The sequence below is a fragment of the Homo sapiens genome, chromosome 5, assembly GCF_000001405.40.
Source record: "Homo sapiens chromosome 5, GRCh38.p14 Primary Assembly".
NCBI classification, from domain to species: domain Eukaryota; kingdom Metazoa; phylum Chordata; class Mammalia; order Primates; family Hominidae; genus Homo; species Homo sapiens.
In genome coordinates, this window is record NC_000005.10 from 72,794,318 (window position 1) to 72,819,153 (window position 24,836).

A 24,836-nucleotide genomic window follows, 5' to 3' on the forward strand; every position below is an offset into this window, starting at 1 on the left:
TAAACAAATAATGAGATCAAGATAGTAGCACTAGATAAAAAATAACACCTGGATTCCAGCCCAGATGTTTTCACTATTTACCATGTGATCTTGGCCAAGTTAGTTATCCTCTTAGAGTTCTCTTCTGTAAAATGAGGTTACTGCATTAGATTTGTCGATGCCTCCAGCTGCAATTTAAAATGAATAACCTATTAGAGAAATATATAAAATTAATATTAATAAACTACTCATATCTAAATTGTTAAAGTAAACCTTTAGGTACTGCTATCTTATCAAAATATGATGATGGGATAGTGGAATTTTTGTATCCAAACATCAAGTCATTTCTTCCAATTAAATCTCACAAATCATATGATTTGGAGTAGTACCTCTGCAATGGAAAACTCTGGGGTAGTCTCTCTAGCTTCTCTGCTTGTTCTAGGAACTGCTCCTCCCTCTCTTTTTCATCCTCCCATCATAGTGCAGCTATAATGTGACCCTTCCTCCTGGCCACAGCTAATCATCTGTGTGATCCAGGTGTGGATACCTCACCTAATCAGAGCCAGTGAGTCCCATCCTCAGGAATTTGGGTCTTGGATAGGAAAAAATATGGAAAGCAAGTTGGTCTCTCATTCTTGAAGCCATAAAGTGAAAACCTTGGTGTGCTAGGCAGATATGTTCCCATGGAAAAGATGGTCTACAGAAAAAAGAAGCAAGCAGAGAATCTAATATTGCTGGTCCCTAGGCTAGCTGGCTTCTTATCTGTAGAGCAGTTTGTTCAACTCGTCTCAGTATACTTTATATAAGTTCTTCCTTTTGCCTAAGCTGGTCAGAGTCTTGTTTGGTGCCTTCTCCCCCGAAAAAAAAATAAATAAATAAAAATAAATAAATCTAAAAGAATGCAACTTCTAATAAGATGAAATCTCTCATCTTCAGGTAATCTTCCCAGCAGGTATGATTACTTTTCCCATAGCCCTGTTCATCTCTGTGACTTCTATGAGAGTGCCTTGAGTTATCTGCTCACATTACTCCTTCCTTTTAAATTGAAATTTTCCCATTAGCTTAACTAGTATAAGATGTACTTTCTCTAGCAAAAATTGATCTGTGTGGCTTAGAGATATTTTCACCTTGAATCTGTCACTTCTGAGCCCTTCTCCTTCAGATTCCATTGCACAGAGTAGTACAGTTGTCTGTTAAAGAAGATTTTACAGGATCTTAGACACTATGTAAACTATATATAGATTTTTGTTGCACCTGTAAGATGGGCCTTAATTTCAGCTTCTCAGATCTTGAAGTGAGAGAAAAAATAAAAGATGTGTGATAATTTGAGAGAAATAATCTTTTAGATTAAAACAACTTAAGATATACTAGAATCATGGTAAATCCTTGACATAGCAATGTGATGGCCTCCTACTTCCTCAGCAGTCAAATTCCAGTATTATATCCACAAGAATTACAAAGTAATTATGCACTCCATATATCAGAACACACTTCTGAGGAAAGAATACAAATTATTTGAGCAAAAAGTCATAAATATGACTAACCAGCATAGAGAAAAGAGTTAATGAGGAAGTGGGAAAGGTGTTAAGGGACAGAAATTAATAGCTTATCCACAACTATTGTTGAAATTTTCCTTTGTTTTGATTTTTGTAGATGTCTTATCAACTTATATATTCTTCATAATAAAATGCCTAATGATTTTTCTTTGTAATTTATGCAAATATGTATGCCTTCAGAAAAAATCCACTTCCCAGATTAGAAAGCCTTCCTTCTGTTTAGTCCTAAGGGACCGTGAGATATGTTTTTCCCCACGGGCAACACAAGCCCTGTGAAATGGAGGCAGAGCTTTCATGCTTTAAAATTCATTTCTCTAACTGTACAATCATTACCAGTATGGGCAAAGCAAATCCAAATTACCACTTACACTTCAGGCCAACTAGAAAAGAGACAGTTCTCATTTTAGAATTCTTTAAATCTTCCCTGACAGGAGTGCTAGAAAAGCATAACATACGGAATCACAAATTGGTCTTTTGACAAACTGCCAATCTATTGACTCTTAAAGGAAGAAAAACAGTGAATACTAAGGACAAAACAGAGGTAATAGCTGAGAAGTGCAGTTGAAATTGAACTAAAAATGCAGAGGAAGAGAAAAAGAAGCCAGTCCAGCATAGGTATGACTTCAGACCCCAAGGGAAAACTTCATAAGGAAATCTTTCGTTACTTTAAAAGTTTGGAAGTCATCTTCATAGCAGAAAGGCTCCATGGTTTGGTGGAAAGCATTGATGCTTGGATATTATGACTCCAGAATTTCTGGTACAGAAATTAAAAATTATAAACAGACTTTCCTATTGCCCTTATTTGGTTTCTATCTCCAGGGATAATTTAAGAGATATGTATATAGGAATCTTGACTTTTTAATCTGTAAATTTTGCTATAACAATCTAGGTTTGAGAACATACACTTTTCTGGATAGAATGTCTCTTTTTATGAAAGCTGTGAATTCATGTATAAATTAATTTTGTGCAGAATTTTCATGACATACAAAACATGAAAAATGATATGGCAGATTATTTGGACCAATTACATGTTATTCCACATGTAATTATAATAAAATTATAAGTGACTTCTAAATTATTAATGAAATTGAAACTAAATGTTTAAAATATTTAATTCTAGTTGTAAACCTGCTAACTCAAAATTACATATAGTCACACACGGAACTACTTTTTTTCTTACAATCAAAATTAAAAATGAAACCATGTTTAGAATATCATTTAATGGCTCTAAAAAGTAGTATCAGGCTGGGCACTGTGGGTTATACCTGTAATCTCAACATTTTTGGAAGTGAGAGGATCATTTGAGCCCAGGAACTCTAGACCAGTCTGGGCAATAAAGTGGGACACTCTCCACAACCTTCCACCACAGTCCCTACAAAAATGAAAAAAAAAGAATGTTTTTAATTAGCCAGACATGGTGATGTGTGCCTGTAGTCCCAGCTACTTGAGAAGCTGAGGCAGAAGGATCGCTTGAATCCAGAAGTTTGAGGCTACAGTGAGCTATGATTGTGCCACTGCACTCCAGTCTGGGCAACAGAGAAAACCCTGTCTCTCAAAAAAAAAACAAACAAACCAGGAATAGAAACCAGGTCTTGCTCTGTTGCCCAGGCTGGAGTGCAGTAGCACAATCTTGGCTCACTGCAGCCTTGGCCTGCCTGGCTCAGGTGATCCTCCAACTCAGCCTCCTGAGTAGCTGGGACCACAGTCGCACTACCAAGTTGGGCTAATTTTTTGTACGTTTTTTTCTGTAGGGGTAGGGTTCACTATGTTGCCCAGGCTGGTCTCACTCCGGAGCTCACGCCATCCACTGGCCTTGGCTTCCCAAAGTGCTAGGATTACAGGCATGAGCCATGGCGCCCAGCCTATCTGGTCTCTTAAAAAATAAAATGAATTTAGGCTGGGCACGGTGGCTTACACCTGTAATCCCAGCACTTTGGGAGGCTGAGGGGGGTGGATCACCTGAGGTCGGGAGTTCAAGACCAGCCTGACCAACATACAGAAACCCTGTCTCTACTAAAAATACAAAATTAGCCAGGCGTGATGGCACATGCCTATAATCCCAGCTACTCGGGAGGCTGAGGCAGGAGAATCCGGGAGGCAGAGGTTGCAGTGAGCCGAGATTGCGCCATTGCACTCCAGCCTGGGCAACAAGAGCGAAACTCCGTCTCAAAAAAAAAAAAAAAATTAAAAAGTATTTTTAGAGTAGTATCAAATATTTTGGTTTAAGCTACTACATATATTTTTGTCACTTCTCTCTTCTGAAAGCACCTAAAACTGAGAGTAAATGTCTTCCATTTTTTCTAAATTTTGGAAATGGAACTCTTCTATTTTTTCCAAATTCTGCTCTTAGAAGAGCAGAGAAACCTGAAATCAAAGTTCCTAATACCATACTGAAGTACGCTGATTCTCTCCATAAAGCTCGAGAAGGGCTCAGGAATTGGAGGTACAGAAAAGGCAGAGATGCAGGGTGGGACTGACAGAGGGAGAACCAGTTGAAAAGAGCACTGGAGCCCTACCTTATGAAGCCAGCTAACTACTCTTGTCTCACCCTTCGGGAAGGAGGAGGTTTATTTTCTATGGCATTTGAACCAGTGAGGCCCCAGATTTGAGGGCTCCAGGAACACAGAGAGCAGGGATGAGGCACCAGCCAGAAAATAAGGGACTAATTAGTCATAATCAACCTTCCACTTCTAGCCCTATAACTCCTTCCAGGTGCCACGACACAAGGAATCATTCTTATTCCTCCCAATCAAGACATCAGAGGAGCCTTCTATGGAGACCCAGAAAGTCCCTCAACACAAAAGCTGTCTTAATGTCCCACATCCCTCAAGAGATGCCCACCTGTCTACAAGTTCCTCATTACAACACAGCTTCCAAACAGCTTTTCGGTGCCTTACTCTTAAATATTTCTGAATGGAGAACCGAGCCTCACCAGATACTTAAAGAAAGCCTCCAAAATCAAAGGCATAAACAAAAATGATCAGAAGAAAAAGAACTTGGCGGGGGGGTGGGTGAAGAATGCAGGCAATAGAAGAAAACTGATTTTTAACCCGGATTAGTATCATGCAAGATATAAGAGAAGACTAACTCAGTCTTTTACCCCCATGCCTTTCAACAAAAGATCTAAAATTGAGATACCTTTAGATAGCATTCTCATTAAGTTTTGCCATTATTTGCCACTAGTTTTGCTTTGTTGGGATTAAACAATATGCCCAACTCATCTTTATTTAATGTTTTCACTCAAAACATTTATCAATACTGAGACATTTCTAAAGAAAAAAGTTTGCATTCCTCCATTTTGGCTATACTGTTAATAATGTTAGTAGAATTGGCATTATTTTCAATTCACCTAGAACAAATTATTATTCACCCCAAGGAATAAAAATAATCATAGTTGGCATTTAGTTGAGTGCTTACTTTGAGCTAGGCACTGTGACAAGTCCATTACATGCACAGGCTCATTTAATCCTCTCAACAACCTTAGAAGATAGGTACTATTTTTATTCTTATCAGACAGATGAGGAAACCAAGGCTTCCAAAGGCCAATTGATGTCTCCATGATGGCAAAGCCAAGATTTGAGCCTAGATACACCTGGCATTAATGCTTTGCCTTTAACTCTTGTGCTCACTACTTCTTAAAGAAGAAAAAAGAAAATCAGAGTTGCATTGTGAAGATGCAAAAGGAAGGAGATTAAATGGTAAATTGGTAATATGTGTCACTTGAGGTTGAAGAAGTCAGGAGAGAGAAGGCTGGAGGGACATAATGTACAGGGAATGGCCTTTGCTAGGGGAACCATGGATTGGCTCTTTTTCCCTTAAAATTCTCTAGAGACTTATCCGGTTGTTGTTTGTATCAATTGTTTGTCTGTTTTTTATTTCTGAGTAATATTCCTTGGTTATGGAAGTACCACACTTTCTTTCTTCATTCATTGAAAAACATCTGGGTTGTTTCCAGTTTTTAGATATTACAAATAAAACTGCTATAAACACTCATGTACAGGTTTTCTGTGAAAATAAGCTTTCATTTCTTTGATAACTCTTCTAACAATGGCTAGGTCAAAGGGTAATCACATGTTTCGTTTTTTTCCCAACAGCAATGTATAAGTGATTCAGTTTCTCTGAGTTCTTGCCAGATATTGTGCTGTCACTTATTTTTTAAATTCCAGACATTCAGATAGGTGTGTAGTGATGTCTTATTGTGGCTTAATTTGCATTTCTCTAATGGCTAATGATGTTGACTGATTTTTGAATATTGGATTAGACTTGCATCCATTAAAAAAAATCACTTTTTCATGGTATGTAATTTTTTTTATATATTGTTGAATTCTGTTTGCTAACATCTTGTTAAGAATTTTTGAGTTCATGTTCATTAAATATTGGCCTGAAGATTTCCTTTTTATGTTGTCTTTGTATGGTTTTGATAACAGGGTGAGAGTAGCTACATAAAATGAATTGGGAAATGCTCCCTCCTCTCTTTTTTTTCTGGAAAAGATATGTAATTGATGTTAATTCTTTAAATGTTTGGTAGAATTGTCCAGTGAAACCACCTGGGCCTTGATATTTATTTCCAAGAAGTTTTAAAATTATAAATTCAATTCTCTTAATAGTTACATTTATATAATAGTTATATAATTCAAATTATCTATTTCATTTTGGGCAAACTATAGTCATTCGTGCTTTTTAAGGAATTGATCCATTTCATCTAAGTTGTCAGATTTTTGCGTGCAGAATTGTTTTTACTATTCCCTTATCATCTTTTTTATATCTGCAGGGTTTGTAGTGATATCCTCTGTTTCATTCTTGAGTTTGGTAATTCATGTCTCCTCTCTTCTTTCTTGTTCATAAGAAAAAGAGATGGACGTTTGTTGATTTTAATTTTTTTCCAAAGAAGCTTTTTGTTTCATTGATTTTTCTCTATTCTGTTTTTAACTTCATTAATTTCTGTTTCTACCTTTATTAATTCTGTTTCTTCACTTGCTTTTGGTTTTTCTTTCTTTTTCTAGGTTCTTGGGGTGGGAAGGGGGAAATAATGGCATTCTCAGATGAAAGGAAACTAAGAGATTTTGTCACTAGCAGACTTCTTTTAAAAGAATGACTAAAAAAAATCTAAACAGAAAGTACATTACAAAAGAAGCAATTTAGGAACTTTGATAACTAAGAAAAAATACTTTACTCAAAAATATGCCTAAATACAACAAGCTTCCTTCTCTTGAGTTTTCTTTTCTTTTTTTTTTCTTTTTCTTTTTTTTTTTTTTTTTTGAGATGGAGTCTTGCTCTTGTCACCCAGGCTAGAGTGCAATGTCATGATCTTGGCTCACTGCAACCTCCACCTCCCAGGTTCAAGCAATTCTGCTGCCTCAGCCTCCTGACTAGCTGGGATTACAGGCACCCGCCACCACGCCCGACTAATTTTTGTATTTTTAGTAGAGACAGGGTTCGCCATGTTGGCCAGGCTGGTCTTGAACTCCTGACCTCGTGATCCTCCCGCCTCAGCCTCCCAAAGTGCTGGGATTACAGGCATGAGCCACCACGCCTGGCCCTTGAGTTTTCTAAATTACGTTTGATGGCTGAAAAATCACATTATCTGATGTGATTCTAAATGTATTTAGAGGAAACATTTAAGACAATTATAAAAAGGAGACAGTAAAGAGATATAAGAGTAAATTACATTTATTGTCTTAGATTATTGATTTGAGACTTTTCATCATTTCTAATAAATGCACTTAAATTTAACCTAACATATGCTATAACTTTCCCTTATAGCCCTGTTTTAGCTGTGTCATAAAATTTTATATGTTATATTTTCATTTTGATTCAGTTCAATATATTTTTAAATTTCCCTTCAGAATTATCTGGCCCATAGGTTATTTGGAAGTGTGTTGTTTAGTTTACAAATGTTTGGAGAACATTTTGCAGTTACTGATTTCTAGTTTGATTTTGTTATGGTAAAAAAACACTATATAATTTCAATTCTTTGAAATTTATTGAGCTTTGTTTTATAACAAGGATATGGTCTATCTTGACATTTGTTCTATAAACACTTGAAAAGAATGTTAAGTCTGCTGTTGTTGGGTAGAGTATTTTATAAATGTTGATTAAATCCTTTTGGCTGGTGGTATTGTTGAGTTCTTATGTATTCTTGCTGATTTTTCATCTAGTTGTTCTATAAACTATTAAGAGGTGCTGAAGTCTCTAACTATAATTGTGGATTTGCCTATCTCTCCTATTAGTACTATCAGTTCACCTAGTGATACAGAAGTGGGCAAGGAAGTGCTGGGAAGGGAAGGGCAGGTCCCTGGCAAGGGCTTAGTTGCTGGCCCTGTCCCTGTGGACCTAGGTGAGGACAGGCACTCCTGACTCCATACCCAAATGTTGCATTTCCCAAGACCACCCTGGCCCACCACACCCCCATCTTGTGCCTATAAAAACTCTCGAGATTCGAGCAGGGAGGCACACAAGCAGCTGGACGGCAAGAGGAATGCGAGGGAGCACACTGGCAGAAGAGCACATGACAGGCACCAGCATGCCATCGACCAGCAGAACAAGGCAGAGTTTGGCCGTGGCAATCAATGGAGACCCTGGGCTGCCGAGCACCCCAACTTCAAGAGAAAACTATCTCCCTTCTGGCTCCCCCATCTGCTGAGAGCTACTTCCCACTCAATAAAACCTTCCACACATTCTCCAAGCCCGTGTGTGATCTGATTCTTCTGGTACACCAAGGCAAGAACCCTGGGATACAGAAAGCCCTCTGTCTTTGCGATAAGGCAGGAGCCTAATTGAGCTAATACAAGCCACCTATGGATGGCTAAACTAAAAAAGCACCCTGTAACACATGCCCACTGGGGGTTCAGCTATAAACATTCACCCCTAGACACTGCCATGGGGTCGGAGGCCCACAGCTTGCCCATTTGTATGCTCCTCTAGAGGTTTGATCAGCAGGGAATGAAGAAGCAAGCCACACCCACATTGCATGACCTGAGAGGGGGACAACGGAACTTTTCCTGTTTCACTAGTTTGCAGCTGTTATTTGGTGCAGACACATTTACAATTGCTGTGTCTTTTTGGTGGACTGACCCTATATTATTACATAATATCTCTCCTTGACTCTGGTACTTTTCTTTGCTCTGAAGTATGCTTTATGTGATATCAATATAGCCACTCCTACTTTCTTTTGGTTAATTATTACATCATATATCTTTTTTCATTCTTTTATTTTCAACTTGCCTATTATTATACTTGAAGTGAGTTTCTTGTAGAAAGCATATACGCAGTTCATATTTTCTAATCCATTCTGCCAGTCAAAATACAATGTTGTAGATATTTATGTTTTGTTATTTTGTTTGTTTGTTTTTACTATACTTTACGTTCTGGGATACATGTGCAGAATGTGCAGGTTTGTTACATAGGTATACACATGCCATGGTGGTTTGCTGCACCCATCAACCCATCATCTACATTAGGTATTTCTCCTAATGCTATCCCTCCCCCAGCCCCCCACCCCCAGACAGACCCCAGTGTGTGATGTTCCCCTCCCTGTGTCCATGTGTTCTCATTGTTCGACTCCCACTTATGAGTGAGAACATGCAGTGTTTGGTTTTCTGTTCCTGTGTTAGTTTGCTGAGAATGATAGTTTCCAGCTTCATCCATGTCCCTGCAAAGGACATGAACTCATCCTTTTTAATGGCTGCATAGTATTACATGGTGTATAGGTGCCATATTTTCTTTATCCAGTCTATCATTGATGGGCATTTGAATCAGCTCCAAGTCTTTGCTATCATGAATAGTGCTGCAATAAACATACGTGAGCATGTGTCTTTACAGTAGAATGATTTATATCCTTTGGGTATATGCCCAGTAATGGGATTGCTAGGTCAAATGGTATTTCTGGTTCTACATCCTTGAGGAATTGCCACACTGTCTTCCACAATGGTTGAACTAATTTACACTCCCACCAACAGCGTAAAAGTGTTCCTTTTTCTCCACATCCTCTCCAGCATCTGTTGTTTCCTAACTTTTTAATAATCACCATTCTAACTGGCATGAGATGCTATCTCACTGTGGTTTTGATTTGCATTTCTCTAATGATCAGTGATGATGAGCTTTTTTTCATATGCTTGTTAGCTGCATAAATGTCTTCTTTTGAGAAGTGTCTGTTCATATACTTTGCCCACTTTTTGATGGGGTTGTTTGATTTTTTTCTTGTAAATTTGTTTAAGTTCTTTGTAGATTCTGGATATTACCCTTTGTCAGATGGATTGCAAAAATTTTTTCCCATTCTGTAGGCTGCCTGTTCACTCTGATGATAGTTTCTTTTGCTGTGCAGAAGCTCGTTAGTTTAATTAGATCCCATCTGGCAATTTTGGCTTTTGTTGCCATGGCTTTTGGTGTTTTAGTCATGAAGTCTTCTCCCATACCTATGTCCTAAATAGTATTGCCTAGGTTTTCTTCCAGAGTTTTTACGGTTTTTGGTCTTACATTTAAGTCTTTAATCCATCTTCAGTTAATTTTTGTATAAGGTGTAAGGAAGGGGTCCAGTTTCAGTTTTCTACATATGGCTAGCCAGTTTTCCCAACACCATTTATGAAATAGGGAATCCTTTCCCCATTGCTTGTTTTTGTCAGGTTTGTCAAAGATCAGATGGTTGTAGATATGTGGCATTATTTCTGAGGCCTCTGTTCTGTTCCATTGGCCTATATATCTATTTTGGTACCAGTACCATGCAGTTTTGGTTACTGTGGCCTTGTAGTATAGTTTGAAGTCAGGTAGCATGATGCCTCTAGCTTTGCTCTTTTTGCTTGGGATTGTCTTGGCTATACAGGCTCCTTTTTGGTTCCATATGAAATTTAAAGTAGTTTTTTCTAATTCTGTGAATAAAGTCAACGGTAGCTTGATGGGGACAGCATTGAATCTATAAATCACTTTGGGCAGTACGGCCATTTCTACAATATTGATTCTTCCCATCCATGAGCCTGAAACACTCCATTTGTGTCCTCTCCTATCTCCATTGAGCAGTGGCCTGCAGCTCTCCTCGAAAAGGTCCTTCACATCCCCTGTAAATTGTATTCCTAGATATTCTATTCTCCTTGTAGCAATTGTGAATGGGCGTTCACTCACGAATTGGCTCACTGTTTGTCTATTATTGGTGTATAGGAATGCCTGCAATTCTTGCACATTGATTTTGTATCCCAAGACTTTGCCGAAATTGCTCACCAGCCTAAGGAGATCTCGGGTTGAGACAATGGGGTTTTCCAAATACACAATCATGTCATCTGCAAACAGAGACAATTTGACTTCCTCTCTTCCTGTCTGAACACCCCCCATTTCTTTCTCCTACCTGATTGCCCTGGGCAGAACTTCCAATACTATGTTGAGTAGGAGTGGTGAGAGAGAGCACCCCTGTCTTGTGCTGGTTTTCAAAGCCCCTGACCATTCAGCATGACATTGGCTGTGGGTTTGTCATAAACAGCACCCTTTATTTTGAGATACATATGATCAATACCTAGTTTATTGAGAGTTTCCTGCATGAAGGGGTGCCAAACTCCATCAAAGGCCCTCTCCGCATCCACTAAGACGATCATGTGGCCTTTGTCACTGGCTCTGCCCATGTGATGGACCACGTTCATCGATCTGCTTATGTTGAACCAGCCTTGCACCCCAGGGATGAAGCTGACCCAATCATGGTGGATAAGCTTCTTGATGTGCTGCTGAACTCGGCCCACCAGCATTTTACTGAAGATTTTCAAATCAATGTTCACCAGAGACACTGGCCCAAAATTTCCTTTTTCTGTTGTGTCTCTGCTAGGTCTTGGCACCAGGACGATTCTAGCCTCATAAAATGAGCTAGGGAGGAGTCCCTCTTTTTCCATTGTTCGGAACAGTTTCAGAAGGAATGGTACCAGCTCCTCTCTGCATCCCTGGTAGAATTTGGCTGTGAATCTGTCTGGTCCTGGGCTTTCCTTGGTTGGCAGGCTATTAATTACGACCTCAATTTCAGAACTTGTCATTGATCTATTCAGGGATTCAACCTCCTCCCAGTTTAGTCCTCGGAGGGTGCATGCATCCAGGAATGTATCCACCTCTTCCAGACTTTCCAGTTTATTTGCACAGAGGTGTTTATAGTATTCTCTGACGGTAGTTCGTATCTCTGTGAGATCAATGGTGACATCCCCTCCATCATTCTCTATTGTGTCCATTTGATTCTTCTCTCCTGTGTTCCCTATTAATCCAGCTAGCGGTCCATCTATTTTGTTAGTCTTTTCAAAAAACCAGCTCCTGGATTCACTGACTTTTTGAAGGGTTTTTCGTGTTTTTATCTCCCTCACTTCCGCTCTGATCCTAGTTATTTCTTGTCTTCAGCTAGCTTTTGAATCTGCCTGCCCCCGCTTCTCTAACTTTTTTAATTGTGATGTTAGAGTGTTGATTTTAGACCTTTCCCACTTTCTTCTGTGGGCATTTGGTGCTATAAATTTCCCTCTAAACACTGCTTCAGCTGCATTCCAGAGATTCTGGTACATTGTGTCTTTGTTCTCATTGGTCTCCAAGAACTTATTTCTGCCTTAATTTCATTATTTATCCAGTAGTCATTCAGGAGCAGGTTGTTCAGTTTCCGTGTAGTTGTGTGATTTTGAGTGAGTTTCTTAATCCTGAGTTCTAATATGATTGCACTGTGGTCTGAGAGACTGTTTGTCATGATTTCTGTTCTTTTGCATTTGCTGAGGAGTGTTTTACTTCCAATTACGTGGTCGATTTTAGAATAAGTGTGATGTGGTGCTGAGAAGAATGTATATTCTGTTGATTTGGGGTGAAGAGTTCTGTAGATGTCTATTAGCTCTGCTTGGTCCACAGCTGAGTTCAAGTCCTGAATATCCTTGTTAATTTTCTGTCTTGTTGATCTGTGTAACATTGACAGTGGGATGTTAAAGTCTCCCACTATTATTGTGTGGGAGTCTAAGCCTCTTTGGAGGTCTCTAAGAATTTGCTTTATGAATCTGGGTGCTCCTGTATTGGGTGCATATATATTTAGGATAGTTAGCTCTTCTTGTTGCATTGATCCCCAGACTATGTGTGTCTTTGCACGTGAGATGGGTCTCCTCAATACAGCACACCAATGGGTCTTGACTCTTTATCCAATTTGCCAGTCTGCGTCTTTTAATTGGGGCAGTTAGCCCGTTTACATTTAAGGTTAATATTGTTATGTGTGAATTTGATCCTGTCATTATGATGCTAGCTGTTTATTTTGCCTGTAAGTTGATGCAGTTTCTTCATAGTGTTGATAGTCTTTACAATTTGGTATGTTTTTGCAGTGGCTGGTACCAGTTGTTCCTTTCCATATTTAGTGCTTCTTTCAGGAGTTCTTGTAAGGTAGGCCTGGTGGTGACAAAATCTCTCAGCATTTGCTTGTCTGTAAAGGATTTTATTTCTCCTTTGCTTATGAAGCTTAGTTTGGCTGGATATGAAATTCTGGGTTGAAAATTCTTTTCTTTAAGAATGTTGAATATTAGTCTCCAGTCTCTTCTGGCTTGTAGGGTTTCTGCAGAGAGGTCCACTGTTAGTCTGATGGGCTTCCCTTTGGGGGTAACCTGACCTTTCTCTCTGGCTGCCCTTAACATTTTTACCTTCATTTCAACCTTAGTGAATCCGACAATTAAGTGTCTTGGGGTTGCTCTTCTTGAGGAGTATCTTCATGGTGTTCTCTGTTCTCTGTATTTCCTGAATTTGAATGTTGGCCTGTCTTGCTAGGCTGGGGAAGTTCTCCTGGATAATATCCTGAAGAGTGTTTTCCAGCTTGGTTCCATTCTCCCTGTCACTTCCAGGTACACCAATCAAATGTAGGTTTGGTCTTTTCACATAGTCCCACATTTCTTGGAGGCTTTGTTCATTACTTTTCATTTTTTTTTCTCTAATCTTGTCTTCACACTTTATTTCATTAAGTTGATCTTCAATCTTTGATAGCCTTTCTTCTGCTTGATTGATTCGGCTATTGATACTTGTGTACGCTTCACGAAGTTCTCATGCTGTGTTTTTCAGCTCCATCAGGTAATTTATGTTCTTCTCTAAACTGGTTATTCTAGTTAGCAATTCGTCTAACCTTTTTTCAAGGTTCTTAGCTTCCTTGCATTGGATTAGAACATGCTCCTTTAGCTCAGAGGAGTTTGTTATTACCCACCCTCTGAAGCCTACTTCTGTTCAATTTGTCAAATTCATTCTGTGTCCAGTTTTGTTCCCTTGCTGGCAAGGAGGTGTGATCCTTTGGAAGAGAAGAAGCATTCTGATTTTTGGAATTTTCAGGCTTTTGCGCTGGTTTTTCCTCACCTTTGTGGATTTATCTACCTTTGGTCTTTGATGTTGGTGACCTTCAGATGGGGTTTTTGTGTGGACCTCCTTTTTCTTGATGTTGATGCTATTTCTTTCTGTTTGTTACAGTCAGGCCCCTCTGCTGCAGGTTTGCTGGAGTTTGCTGGAAGTCCACTCCAGATTCTGTGTGCCTGGGTATCACCAGCAGAGACTGCAGAACAGCAAAGATTGCTGCCTTTTCCTTCCTCTGGAAGCTTCATCCCAGAGGGGCACCTGCCATATGCCAGCCAGAGCTCTCCTGCATGAGGTGTCTGTTGACCCCTGCTGGGAGATGTCCCCCAGTCAAGAGGCAGGAGGGTCAGGAACCCACTTGAGGAGGCAGTCTGTCCCGTAGCAGAGCTCAAGCACTGTGCTGAAAGATCCACTCCTCTCTTCAGAGCTGGCAGGCAGGAAGGTTTAAGTCTGCTAAAGCTGCACCCACAGCCGCCCCTTCCCCCAGGTGCTCTGTCCCAGGGAGATGGGAGTTTTATCTATAAGCCCCTGACTGGGGCTACTGCCTTTCTTTCATAGATGCCCTGCCCAGAGAGGAGGAATCTAGAGAGACAGTCTGGCTACAGCGGCTTTGCCAAGCTTTGGTAGGCTCCACTGAGTTCGAACCTCCCCGGAGGCTTTGTTTACACTGTGAGGGGAAAACCGTGTACTCAAGCCTCAGTAATGGCAGATACTCCTCCCCCCAGCAAGCTTGAGCATCCCAGGTCAACTTCAGACTGCTGTGCTGGCAGCAAAGTTTCAAGCCAGTGGGTATTAGCTTTCTGGGTTCTGTGGGGGTGGGATCCACTGAGCTGGACCACTTGACTCCCTGGCTTCAGCCCCCTTTCCAGGGGAGTGCACGCTTCTGTCTTGCTGGCGTTCCAGGCGCCACTGAGGTATGAAAAAAAACTCCTGCAGCTAGCTCTGTGTCTGCCCAAATGGCTGCCCAGTTTTATGCATGAAACCCAGGGCCCTGGTGGAGTAGAGACCCAAGGGAATCTCCTGGTCTGCAGGTTGCAAAGACTGTGGGAAAAGCATAGTATCTGGGCCAGAATGCACCATTCCTCATGGCACAGTCCCTCACGGCTTCCCTTGACTAGGGGAGGGAGTTCCCCGACCCGCTGTGCTTCCCGGGTGAGGTAACACCCCACCCTGCTTCGACTCGCCCTCCGTGGGCTGAACCCACTATCTAACCAGTCCCAATGAGATGAGCCAAGTACCTCAGGTGGAAATGCAGAAATCACTCACCCTTCTGCATTGATCTCACTGGGAGCTGCAGACTGGAGCTGTTCCTATTCAGCCATCTTGCCACCCACCTCCAACAATCCTTTATTCCATTTATGTTGAATGTAATTACAGATATGTTAGAGCTTAAGTCAGTTATTTTGTATTTTGTTTTCTGTCTATTCTCTCTGTTGTTCATTTCTCTGTTTTCTTTTCCTTATCTTCTTGTGGGTTACTTCCGGTGGGTTACTTTTTAGAATTCCATATTAATTTTTGTTTTTGAGTGTATCTATTTCTTTTTCACTAGTTGCTTTAGGTATTAAAAGTATACATATTTTTATAACTTAAATTTTTTCATATATTTGCTATGGTTTAAATGTGTCCCTTCCAAAATTCAGGCGTTGCCAATGTGACGGTATTAGGTAGTAAAGTCTTTAAGAGGTAATTAAGTCATGAAAGTTCTTCCTCATTAATGTTATTAAGGCCCTTATGAAAGAGGCTTCATGCAACAAGATGGTCCTCAGCAGATACCAGATGCCAATGCCTTGATCTAGGACTTCCCAGTTTCCAGAACTGTGAGAAAATAAATTTCAGTTTATTCTAAATTACTCAGTCTCAGGTACTGTGATATAACAGCATAAGCAGACTAAGTCAATATCGATATCAAACCTATCCTAGTGTACTTGTGGTGTAATTTTGCCAGTTCAAGTGAAGTGTAGAAACCTTATTTCCCTTTATAGCTCCTTACCTTTTTCCTTTTATAATATGATTGCTCAAGTATTCTCTCTACCAAATCAGATGTTAAAATTTCTGCTTTAACCTTCAAATATAATTTAGAAAACTCAAGAGGAGAAGGGAAGCCTATTATATTTACTCATATTTTTACTTAGTGTTTTCTTGGTTCTTAATGTTCCAATATTCTTTCTTTCATAATTTCCTTTCTGTAGCCATGCTTTTAGAAAAAAAACTGCTAGTGACAAAATCTCTTAGTTTCCCTTCATCTGAGAATGTCATGATTTCCCCTCCATTCCTAAAGGATATTTTTGCTGGATATTGGATTTGGGTTGACAATTTTTTCCTCTCAACACTTGAAAGATGTTGTGTCACTTCCTTATGGAGTCCATGGTTTCTGATGTAAGATCCACTGTCATTCAAATTGCTTTTCCCTTACAAGTAAGGTGTCATTTCTTGCTCTCTGCTTTTAACAATTTTTTCTATGTTCTTAGTTTTCAAAAGTTGAATGATATATCCTGGCATGACTCTCTTTGAGTTTATCCTATTAGGTTTCATTTGTCTTTTTTTTAGTAACAGCTTTATTGAGATATAATTTTTAACCATAAAACTCACCCTTTTAAAGTTTATAATTCAGTGGTTTTTAGATTCACAACATTATGTAACCTCCACTATCTAACTTTAGAACACTTTAATCACCTAGAAAAGAAACCCTATACTTATTAGTAATCACTATTTCCCTCCTTGACCCTTGGAAACCACTAATATGCTTTGTCTCTATATATCTGCTTATTTTAGACTTTCACATAATCATGTAACATGTGGCTTTTGTAACTGGCTTCTTTCACTTAAAGAAAGCATAATGCTTTCAAGGTTGATTCATACTGTAGCATGTATTAGCACTTTATTCCTTTTTAGTATCAATTAATAGTCCATTGTATATATATACTATATTTTGTTTATTCATTAATCAATTGATGGACATTTGAGTTGTTCCACTTTTTGGACATTACAAATAATTACAAATAATCCTGCTTTTTGTACCACTTTTTGTGTAGACATATGTTTTCATTTTTATTTGGAGTAGAATTCCTGAGTCATAGGGTAACTCTATATTTAATTGTTTGAGGAACTGCCACAGTGTTTTCCAGAGCAGCTATAGCATTTTACATTCCCACCAGCAATGTACAGGGGTTCCAATTCCTCCATATCCTCCCCAATACTTGTTATCTGTACTTCATATTATAGATACTCTAATGAGTGTGAAGTGGTATCTCCTTGTTTTGATTTGCATTTCCCTAATAGCTAATGATCTTGAGCTTCTTCTCATAAGCCTATTGGTCATTTGTATATCTTATTTGAAGAAATGTCTATACAGATCCTTTCTCCATTTTTAATTAGGTTGTTTTTTATTATTGAGGTGTAAGAGTTTTTTATCTATACTAAATATAAATCTCTTATTGGATATGTAATTTGCAAATATTTTCTCCCATTCTGTGTGCTGTCTTTTCATTTTCTTTCTTGGTGGTGCCATTTGAAGCATGAAAGTTTGAAATTTTGATGAAATCCAACCTGTTTACTTTTTCTTTTATTGCTTGCGTTTTTGGTGTCATATGTAGGAGGTCTTTTCCTAACTCCAGGTCACAAAAATTTAATTCCATGTTTACTTCTGATAATTTTATAGTTTTAGTGCTTATATTTTGTTCTATGATCCATTTTAAGTTAATTTTTGTATACAGTGTGAAGCAGACGTCCAATTTTGTTCTTTTACATGTGGATACCCTGTTGTTTCAGCACTATTTGTTAAAAAATAACTACCTTCTTCCCATTTAACTGTTTTGGCTCCTTTGTTGAAAATTCACTCAGCTTCTTGAATCTGTAGGTTTATCTCTTTCACCAAATTTCAGAAGTTTTCAGACATTATTTATTTGAGTATTTTTAGCCTCACCCTTTTTCTTTTCTCCCTCTAGGACTCTGATTTCATGAATGTTACATCTTTTGTTGTAGTCACTTAGTTCCATGAGACTCTGTTCTTTTTAGTCTATTTTATCTCTTTTTTAGAGTGGATAATTTCTGTTGTTCTGTCTTCAAGTTCCTTGATTCATTCCTTTGTCTCCTTCGTTCTGTTACTCAATTCATTTAGTTTTTTATTTTGATTATTGTATTTCTCAGTTCTAAAATTTCCATTTGGTTTTTCTTTATGTCTTCTGCTTATTTAATGAGACTTTCTATTTTTTTCATTTGTTTCAAGTGTTTTTGTAGTTGCTCACTGAAGCATTTTTATGATGTCTGCTTTAACATCTTTGTCAGATAATTCTAACATCTTTGTCTTCTTGGTTTTGTCATTTATTAATGGTCTTTTTTCATACAGTTTGAGATCTTCCTAGTTCATGATATAATGAGTGATTTTCATAAAACCTGGACGTATGGGATATTTATGAGGTTTTGAATCTTATGAAAATCTCTTTTAGCTGGCTTTTTCTAACATGGTACTGGCAGGGGAAGTGGGTATGGGGAACAGGCACCACCTCATTGTTGCCAAGTTGGAGGAGACATCCAAGTTCCTCATTTGGCCTCCACTGACACCCAGGATGGGAGACTCCTTGTTACTGGCTTGTGATGATGAAAGTACTGGTTCTTTATTTGACCTTCTCTGACACCACCCTGGGAAGGAGGGCTTAGGGCACCTCTAAATAATTATTTAAATATTTTTCCATAATGCTAACCTGAAGATGTTTCAGTGTAAGGCAATTCTTTAAACTACCTAATAGTCTGGTGAGGGTGGGGATCTAGGCTATCCACTAGGACTTTGCTGACATGAGTAGGATGGGGTCACAATTCTGTCTGTAGTTTTGCCTAGAGTATGCAATTATTGTCAAAAAGTTTTCTGTCTGCCATACTCCTTTTCTGGCCCTTCAGCTGGAGCAGTGTTTTGATGGGGCCTTTTTAGTCTGTGCCATTGGTGTTTCTAGGTTGCTGATGTGTAAAGTTTCAAGTCTCTAAAGACTCTAAAGCAAAAAGAAAACACAGGCAATTAACCATCATGTTGTTCCTTGGGTTCCAAGGTCTCTAGTTGATCTGTCTTCTTTCCACCATTTGGAGACCTTTATGTTTGTTTTATACATAATGTTCAGAAGTTTTAATTATACTTAGTGGGAGGAATAGGGACAAGCATATCTATTCCAACTTCCCAAAAGTGGAAATCTAAGTAGACCTTTTTATAAGCAGAATCATATTATAATCACTAGGACATATTAATACTTAAAGGAGATTTGAAGTTAATTTTTCCCAGTTAATAACTCCCTAATTTATATTTTTAAGAATTCAAACTTTATATATTGGGTTTACTTTAAATGAGAAATGCCTGTAGATTATTTACACATTTCTGAATATTGACTACAATTGTCCTCTTCAATATTTTAATTAAATTCTTCCAAATAATTACTGAAACTTTTTTTCATAATGTCAACCTGAAGATGTTTCAGTGTAAGGCAATTCTTTAAACTACCTAATGTGAAATAATTGTCTTCCAGAAGTATAAATGGTGACAATATTTTAGAAGATCCTATTCTATTTTATTTGTTTATTTTTATTTTTTCATTTATTTTTGAGACGAAGTCTTCCTCTGTCACCCAGGCTGGAGTGCAAATGAATGGCCTGATCTTGGCTCACCGCAACCTCTGCCTCCCAGGTTCAAGCAATTCTCCTGCCTCAGCCTGCTGAGTAGCTAGAATTACAGGTGCCCGCCACCATGCCCAGCTAATTTTTGTATTTTTAGTAGAGACGAGGTTTCACCATGTTGGCCAGGCTGGCCTCAAACTCCTGACCTCAGGTAATCCGCCCATCTCGGCCTCCCAAAGTGCTGGGATTACAGGCGTGAGCCACTGCGCCCAGGCTTATTCTATTTTAGAAGCTTGCCTGTATATAAAAAATTACTTATCTTACTAGGTTTCCATATACTCACCAACAATTGCCTATTAAAGACATTTATTTAACAATTTTTGAATTTCCAGACTTACTTTTTCAATAATATTCCTCCTTCTCAAACATCTTTGATTTATATTAATGTCTAGTAATACTTTCATTCATTGCCCTCTAACAACCTGCCCTGCACTCTGCTAATGAGTTCTTTATGTAACTTATCTTACTTAATCTTGTTTCAGACAAAAGAAAGTGAAGCTCAGAAAGACTGAGCCAAAAGCATTCATAAATGGTAAAGCCAGCATCTGCATATAGGTCCTCTGCCTGCAAGCTCCACACTTGTTTTAACAATGCTACACCTGACAAAATAAGCATCTTGTCATTCCTAGGTGAAAGCTTATAGGTATGTTTTCTCCCTCAGATGCTATTTTGTAACTTCTAACATGTTTTTATTTTTATCTTGGTAAATTTTTCACCTAAGAAAATAAAATTAATACAGAAATTTTAAATATATCTATGTTTTAAAGGTAAAAACAAAGTTTATAAATTTTAACTTCATTTTTGTCATTTAAAAATTATTAATAATTCTTCAAAGTTTTACCACATGAGCATATTTAGGTATAAAGAGAAAATACTACTGGATAGCTGCTATTATATGTGCAAACTGTCAAAGAAAAATAAAATAAGCCATGTTAATAAATCCTTGTTAATAAGATTTACTGTTTAAAACATGTTTTTTTAATTTGACCTAGAAGAGACAAAAAGGCTACATGTGTAAGAATCTCTATTCAACAGAACTATTTTATATTAGTATTTTCATTCACTTTAATTTTTACAAAAGAATACATATTTAATTTGCTTAATCTCAATTTTACAACATCTGATAATCAACATTTTTTTCTTTCAAAATGTTTTGGCCAATAAATCCTCTTATGCTAAATAATATGTTACTTTTTCTTCAATTCATTTCAGCTATTTCCAAACTATTAATCAAGTGAACTCCTACTAATTGCTTAGTCAGTAGTATTTACATCTGTCATTATTTGCTAATCTTTTGGATTTTAGAAATATTTGTGTTTTTTCCTTTAGCAAAGTAGAATGCAAATACTACACATCTTCTGATTTGTATAGATCCTAGTCCACGATGTAACTTTTCAAATGCAGAAATAAGCCATTTGTTATTTGGATAAATATACTTTTTCTGGGTATATTTTCCTGCAGATAAACTACCATTCAGAAAAGTTTATATTACATTTTTTTCTTGGTAATCTACTCCTATTTGGGGGGGGGGGCTCTTTTTGATATACACTACTGTATCCAATTACTATCAAATTAATATTATAACATGTTGAAATCATGAATATTTTAGTTATCTATATTTTCCCTTGCTAAGTTCAATTTCCCAATGATTAAAAAATGGTACTTTTAGTCTCAAATTTTAAGTTAAATAAACTAGTTGTTCCTGCAAAATGACTGTAATTCAAATGAAAATTGTTAACACGTTTAGAAGAACAAATAAATTACCTTAGTAAAAATTTAGACATTTTCTAGTATTATGTACTGTAATTTTACCTAAACTATGACAGGAAGGCAACAACTGTCACACATTTTCAAAATATATACAGCACTTCCAGTAAGATAGTCGGAACTGCTGGTATTTCTACTCACACTGATCATGTGAGGAATATTATCACGGGCATCATCACCTTAGAAAATAAAAATCAGCTAGCTATGCAAATTTTAAGTATTTTTATACAGTAAATTTTACATATAAGAATAATCTGAGGGAAGGAAACTGATATTTATCTCATTACCCTTGTTGCAGTTGGGTATAAAAACGTCCACCACTCCCATTTTGAATCATTTGCCGTACAGAAAATACAGGACATTTTAATTTCTCATGATGGCAGGTTAGGGAGAGAAAGGCTTGTTATTTCTAAGAGCAAGAAACTACAGTTTTATAGGATTGAACACCTGGAGGCGTAAACATTTTATAAATCACTGAATTCTAATTACATAGTAGTTTATACGCCAGATACAACATACGTCAAAAGCCTATCTTGTTCTAAGCGGGCAGCCATCCACCGGCGTCTACCTACCGAAGCCATTTCTGCTTTTTACCAGCGACGCTGGAACAGTGTTATTGTGGGATATGTTCAGTGTTGAACAGGCTCCCAGGGCACGGCTGTTACTTTGGAGGTTATGCTGGGGTACAGAAGTTAGGCTGGGGCAGGGCCATCCACCTAGGAGGGCCCAGCACAGTCTGGGCAACCACACCGGCGGGCCGTTTTGCTCACAGCCCCACCGCGCCGGGCAGCGTCTGCAGCTGCTGCGTGCGAGACCCAGAGGCTCCGGTCAGCGCGCCGGCCGCAGGGAGTGCGAGCACTTGTGAGCCCCGCGCCGGGCCGGTGAAGTCTGGTGCTGCCGAGCCCGCTTAGAAAGCACGGCCGCGCGCTGTCGGACGCAGGCCCACAGGCCCAGCCGACCCAGGCAGCAATTTTCCTAGCCCCGCCGCCGTTGCCAAGGCGACCGCCGCCGAATGTTCCCGCCGCGGGCTCCGCCCCCCGGCCAATCGGACCGGCGCTCGGTGAAGCCCAGATTCTCTTTGTTCCGCAGCCATTTCAGGCCCCGGACAGGAGGCAGTGCCGCTTCGGCCGAAGGCCCGAGCGCCCGAGGCGTCTGGGATGGTGTGGGACCGGGTAGGTGGCGTGAGGGTGCGCGGCCCCGAACTGCAGGGGCGGGAACGGAGGCTGGGAGCGCCGAGCTGCCTGACGCGCCTACGGGAGAGACGCCGGGCTCGCCCGCTCTCTCGGCGCCTGCCCGGCCGTTTGAAGCCGAGAGGCAGCGGCGGCGCGGTTCTAACCCCAACAGCTGCCCGCCCAGGCGCCCTGCGGGACCCGGGTAGGGAGCAGGCGACGGCGGCTCCTCAAGCGTCCGAGGATCCCGTTAGGGGCGGCAGGAGCCCGTTACAAGGGGCGGGAAGGGAAGGGTCTTACATTCAGGGGAGCGTTTGCCTCGCCTGTTAAGCTGTGGCGTTTGAGGGCCCTTGAGTGCTGCAGTCGGCTGCCCCGGGACGGCTGCCTTTCACTGGTTCTGGGCGCTGGCCGGCGCTGCCCGAGATGGGCCAGTCTTTGTCCCGCCCTGGGCCCCTCTGCCCGGGTCTCCTGCGTCCGCACACAGCGCCCATCGTCCTTACATGCAGCTTGCCGTTCTCTTCCTCCCGGCGGTTCTTTCTCCTTGGGGCCTCTTGGCCTCACGACATGTTTACATAATGTTTGTGACTGTACGAGTTTTGCGTGGGCTTGTGGGTTTTGCCCTTCTACCTCCACTCCCATGCGTACAAGCAACAGGGAACAGCTGCTGAGGAGCAGATTGGCCACCACAATCAAGCTATTTTCGGAATGACTTTCTTTAAAAATGATCGCGTGTTGCTTACTGATTTTAAAAATCAACTGGATTTTGCAAGGATTGCTTAGAGTTTAAGTCTGTTATCTTAATCGCTAATCAGGATGGTCTATCAGTAGATGTAAATGTAGAAATTTGAAATTGGAGGCTATCTACAAATTGATTTTGACAGCTGTATTAAGAAGCTTAATAACTGTCCTTTGAAACAGTAATGACTTAAATGATGAATGTGTAAGTGGTACTTTTTTTACCCTAAAGAAAAGATACTTTTAAAATTGCAAGATGTATGGTGTAATAGGTGTTTGGAAATGAAGGTTGTAAAATGGCTGTCCTGACGTACTACTCACTTTTAGAATAACAAAAGTTCCTGCAGCTTTTTAAGTTTCCCTGTTATATCAAAGCTTTCATGTTAGAGTGGTGAAGAAGCTATGTTTAGTGGAAAAGGGGAAAGTTCCGTTTTTTGGGAAAGGATCTGTTTTCCACTTTCACCTTACCTGGCACCGTAGTTGTTCCTAGAGAAGGCTGTGCCAGGATGAAAATTAGCAACCACAAAAGGGAAACAATAGTTTGTAGGTGCAGATATCTTTTTTAGTCTCTAGCTATGCAGTGCATAAATTTATACTAGCTTGGCAGTACGATTTTTACTTCATGCAATTTAACGTGAGCCTAATGAAGTACTAGTGTTCTGTTTTCTTTTTCCTAAAAGGGGCCGCCACCCTTGATGTGGCTGCATCTTTCTCCTAGTCAGGAATTATTAAATTCCTCCCACTGAAATATCTATAAAAATCTTGTTTGCACTTCTACCTCAACTCTCAGTGGCTTTATTACCATTATATAATGTGAGCAGAATAAGATTTTTGTAAAAATACATGATTCTAGTTGTAAGCTTTTCCAATATCAACATTTCTTATTGTATTCATTGTTTTTATGACTGTAGTTTTGCTTATTTATAATTTTAAAGCCATTCCATGAACTCAGTTTTTCTAAATGTTGTAAATGAGCTACTACATTGAAATGTAAACATCTGTATTTAGAAGAATTTCTTGAATTTTAACCATGTTGGATTCTGCAAATGTTTTTTTAAGAAAAGAAACCTGGTTATAAAGTGACGTCAAACCAAGTGACATAGGTAATGAAATAAATGAATTTATCAAATATAAACTGCAGAGAGGAGCACAGCAGTAAGTGGGGGAGTTCTTTTTATTGGCCAGGGTATAAATTGTGATATTTTTTCCTGAGATTGATATTTGAATACATATTGGTGCTAAAAAGATATCTTCCCCCCTCAAAACAGTTTGGTTTACCAGCAAAAGGATGAGAAAGCTGAGAGAATCAAAGAAACTGATGAGGTTTTCAAAAACAATGGCGAACAATGCCATCCTCAAAGAGGAAGGATCAGAAACAGTGAAATTCCCCTGGAGGTTGAGGATTTTTCTTAGTTGACCCTATTCAGCCATTGCCATGGTAAATCTGTTGAGTGTTGGCAGGTGAAGGAGTCTTCTGGGTTGTACAAGGGATGAGCTTCACAATGGAAGACAGATGTTTGCAAGAGTGGTGCCTTAATCCGTATTGTGTTGCTGTAAAAGAATACCTGAGACTGGGTCATTTATAAAGAGAAGAGGTTTATTATTTAGCTCACGGTTCTGCAGGCTGGGAAGTATAAGAAGCAAGGCGCCGCCATCTGGTCAGCTTGTT

At 39.3% G+C, this 24,836-nt stretch overlaps 1 protein-coding gene and 1 long non-coding RNA gene across 25 annotated transcripts in view, besides 4 other annotated features; one reads left to right on the forward strand and one right to left on the reverse strand.

The window, feature by feature from the left end:
* The window catches only part of TNPO1-DT (TNPO1 divergent transcript), a 245,434-nt gene extending 223,203 nt beyond the window's left edge, over positions 1–22,231 (reverse strand). For 18 of the 20 annotated variants that reach the window (NR_186516.1, NR_186514.1, NR_186515.1 and 15 more), the window contains exons 1-2: positions 21,836–22,231; positions 82–167 (exon numbers count right to left, since the gene is read on the reverse strand). This is a non-coding gene — a long non-coding RNA (TNPO1 divergent transcript). Of the gene's footprint in view, positions 1–81; positions 189–21,835 lie in introns of all 20 variants that reach the window. The other 2 variants (NR_186527.1, NR_186526.1) reach the window with 1 other exon arrangement.
* Positions 21,911–21,990: an enhancer, noted in NCBI's record as "active region_22653". NCBI's record gives its function as "activates an Ori minimal core promoter by ATAC-STARR-seq in GM12878 lymphoblastoid cells {active_cell/tissue: GM12878}" and the evidence as "EXISTENCE:reporter gene assay evidence [ECO:0000049][PMID:35858748]".
* Positions 22,251–22,350: a silencer, noted in NCBI's record as "silent region_16083". NCBI's record gives its function as "represses an Ori minimal core promoter by ATAC-STARR-seq in GM12878 lymphoblastoid cells {active_cell/tissue: GM12878}" and the evidence as "EXISTENCE:reporter gene assay evidence [ECO:0000049][PMID:35858748]".
* The window catches only part of TNPO1 (transportin 1), a 97,728-nt gene continuing 95,235 nt past the window's right edge, over positions 22,344–24,836 (forward strand). For 4 of the 5 annotated variants that reach the window (NM_002270.4, XM_005248501.3, NM_001364295.3 and 1 more), the window contains exon 1: positions 22,344–22,435. In NM_002270.4, the coding sequence (NP_002261.3) occupies positions 22,421–22,435 (15 nt within the window). In that variant the 5' untranslated portion in view covers positions 22,344–22,420. Of the gene's footprint in view, positions 22,638–24,836 lie in introns of all 5 variants that reach the window. The other variant, NM_001364292.3, reaches the window with a different exon arrangement.
* Positions 22,391–22,610: a silencer, noted in NCBI's record as "silent region_16084". NCBI's record gives its function as "represses an Ori minimal core promoter by ATAC-STARR-seq in GM12878 lymphoblastoid cells {active_cell/tissue: GM12878}" and the evidence as "EXISTENCE:reporter gene assay evidence [ECO:0000049][PMID:35858748]".
* Positions 23,071–23,120: an enhancer, noted in NCBI's record as "active region_22654". NCBI's record gives its function as "activates an Ori minimal core promoter by ATAC-STARR-seq in GM12878 lymphoblastoid cells {active_cell/tissue: GM12878}" and the evidence as "EXISTENCE:reporter gene assay evidence [ECO:0000049][PMID:35858748]".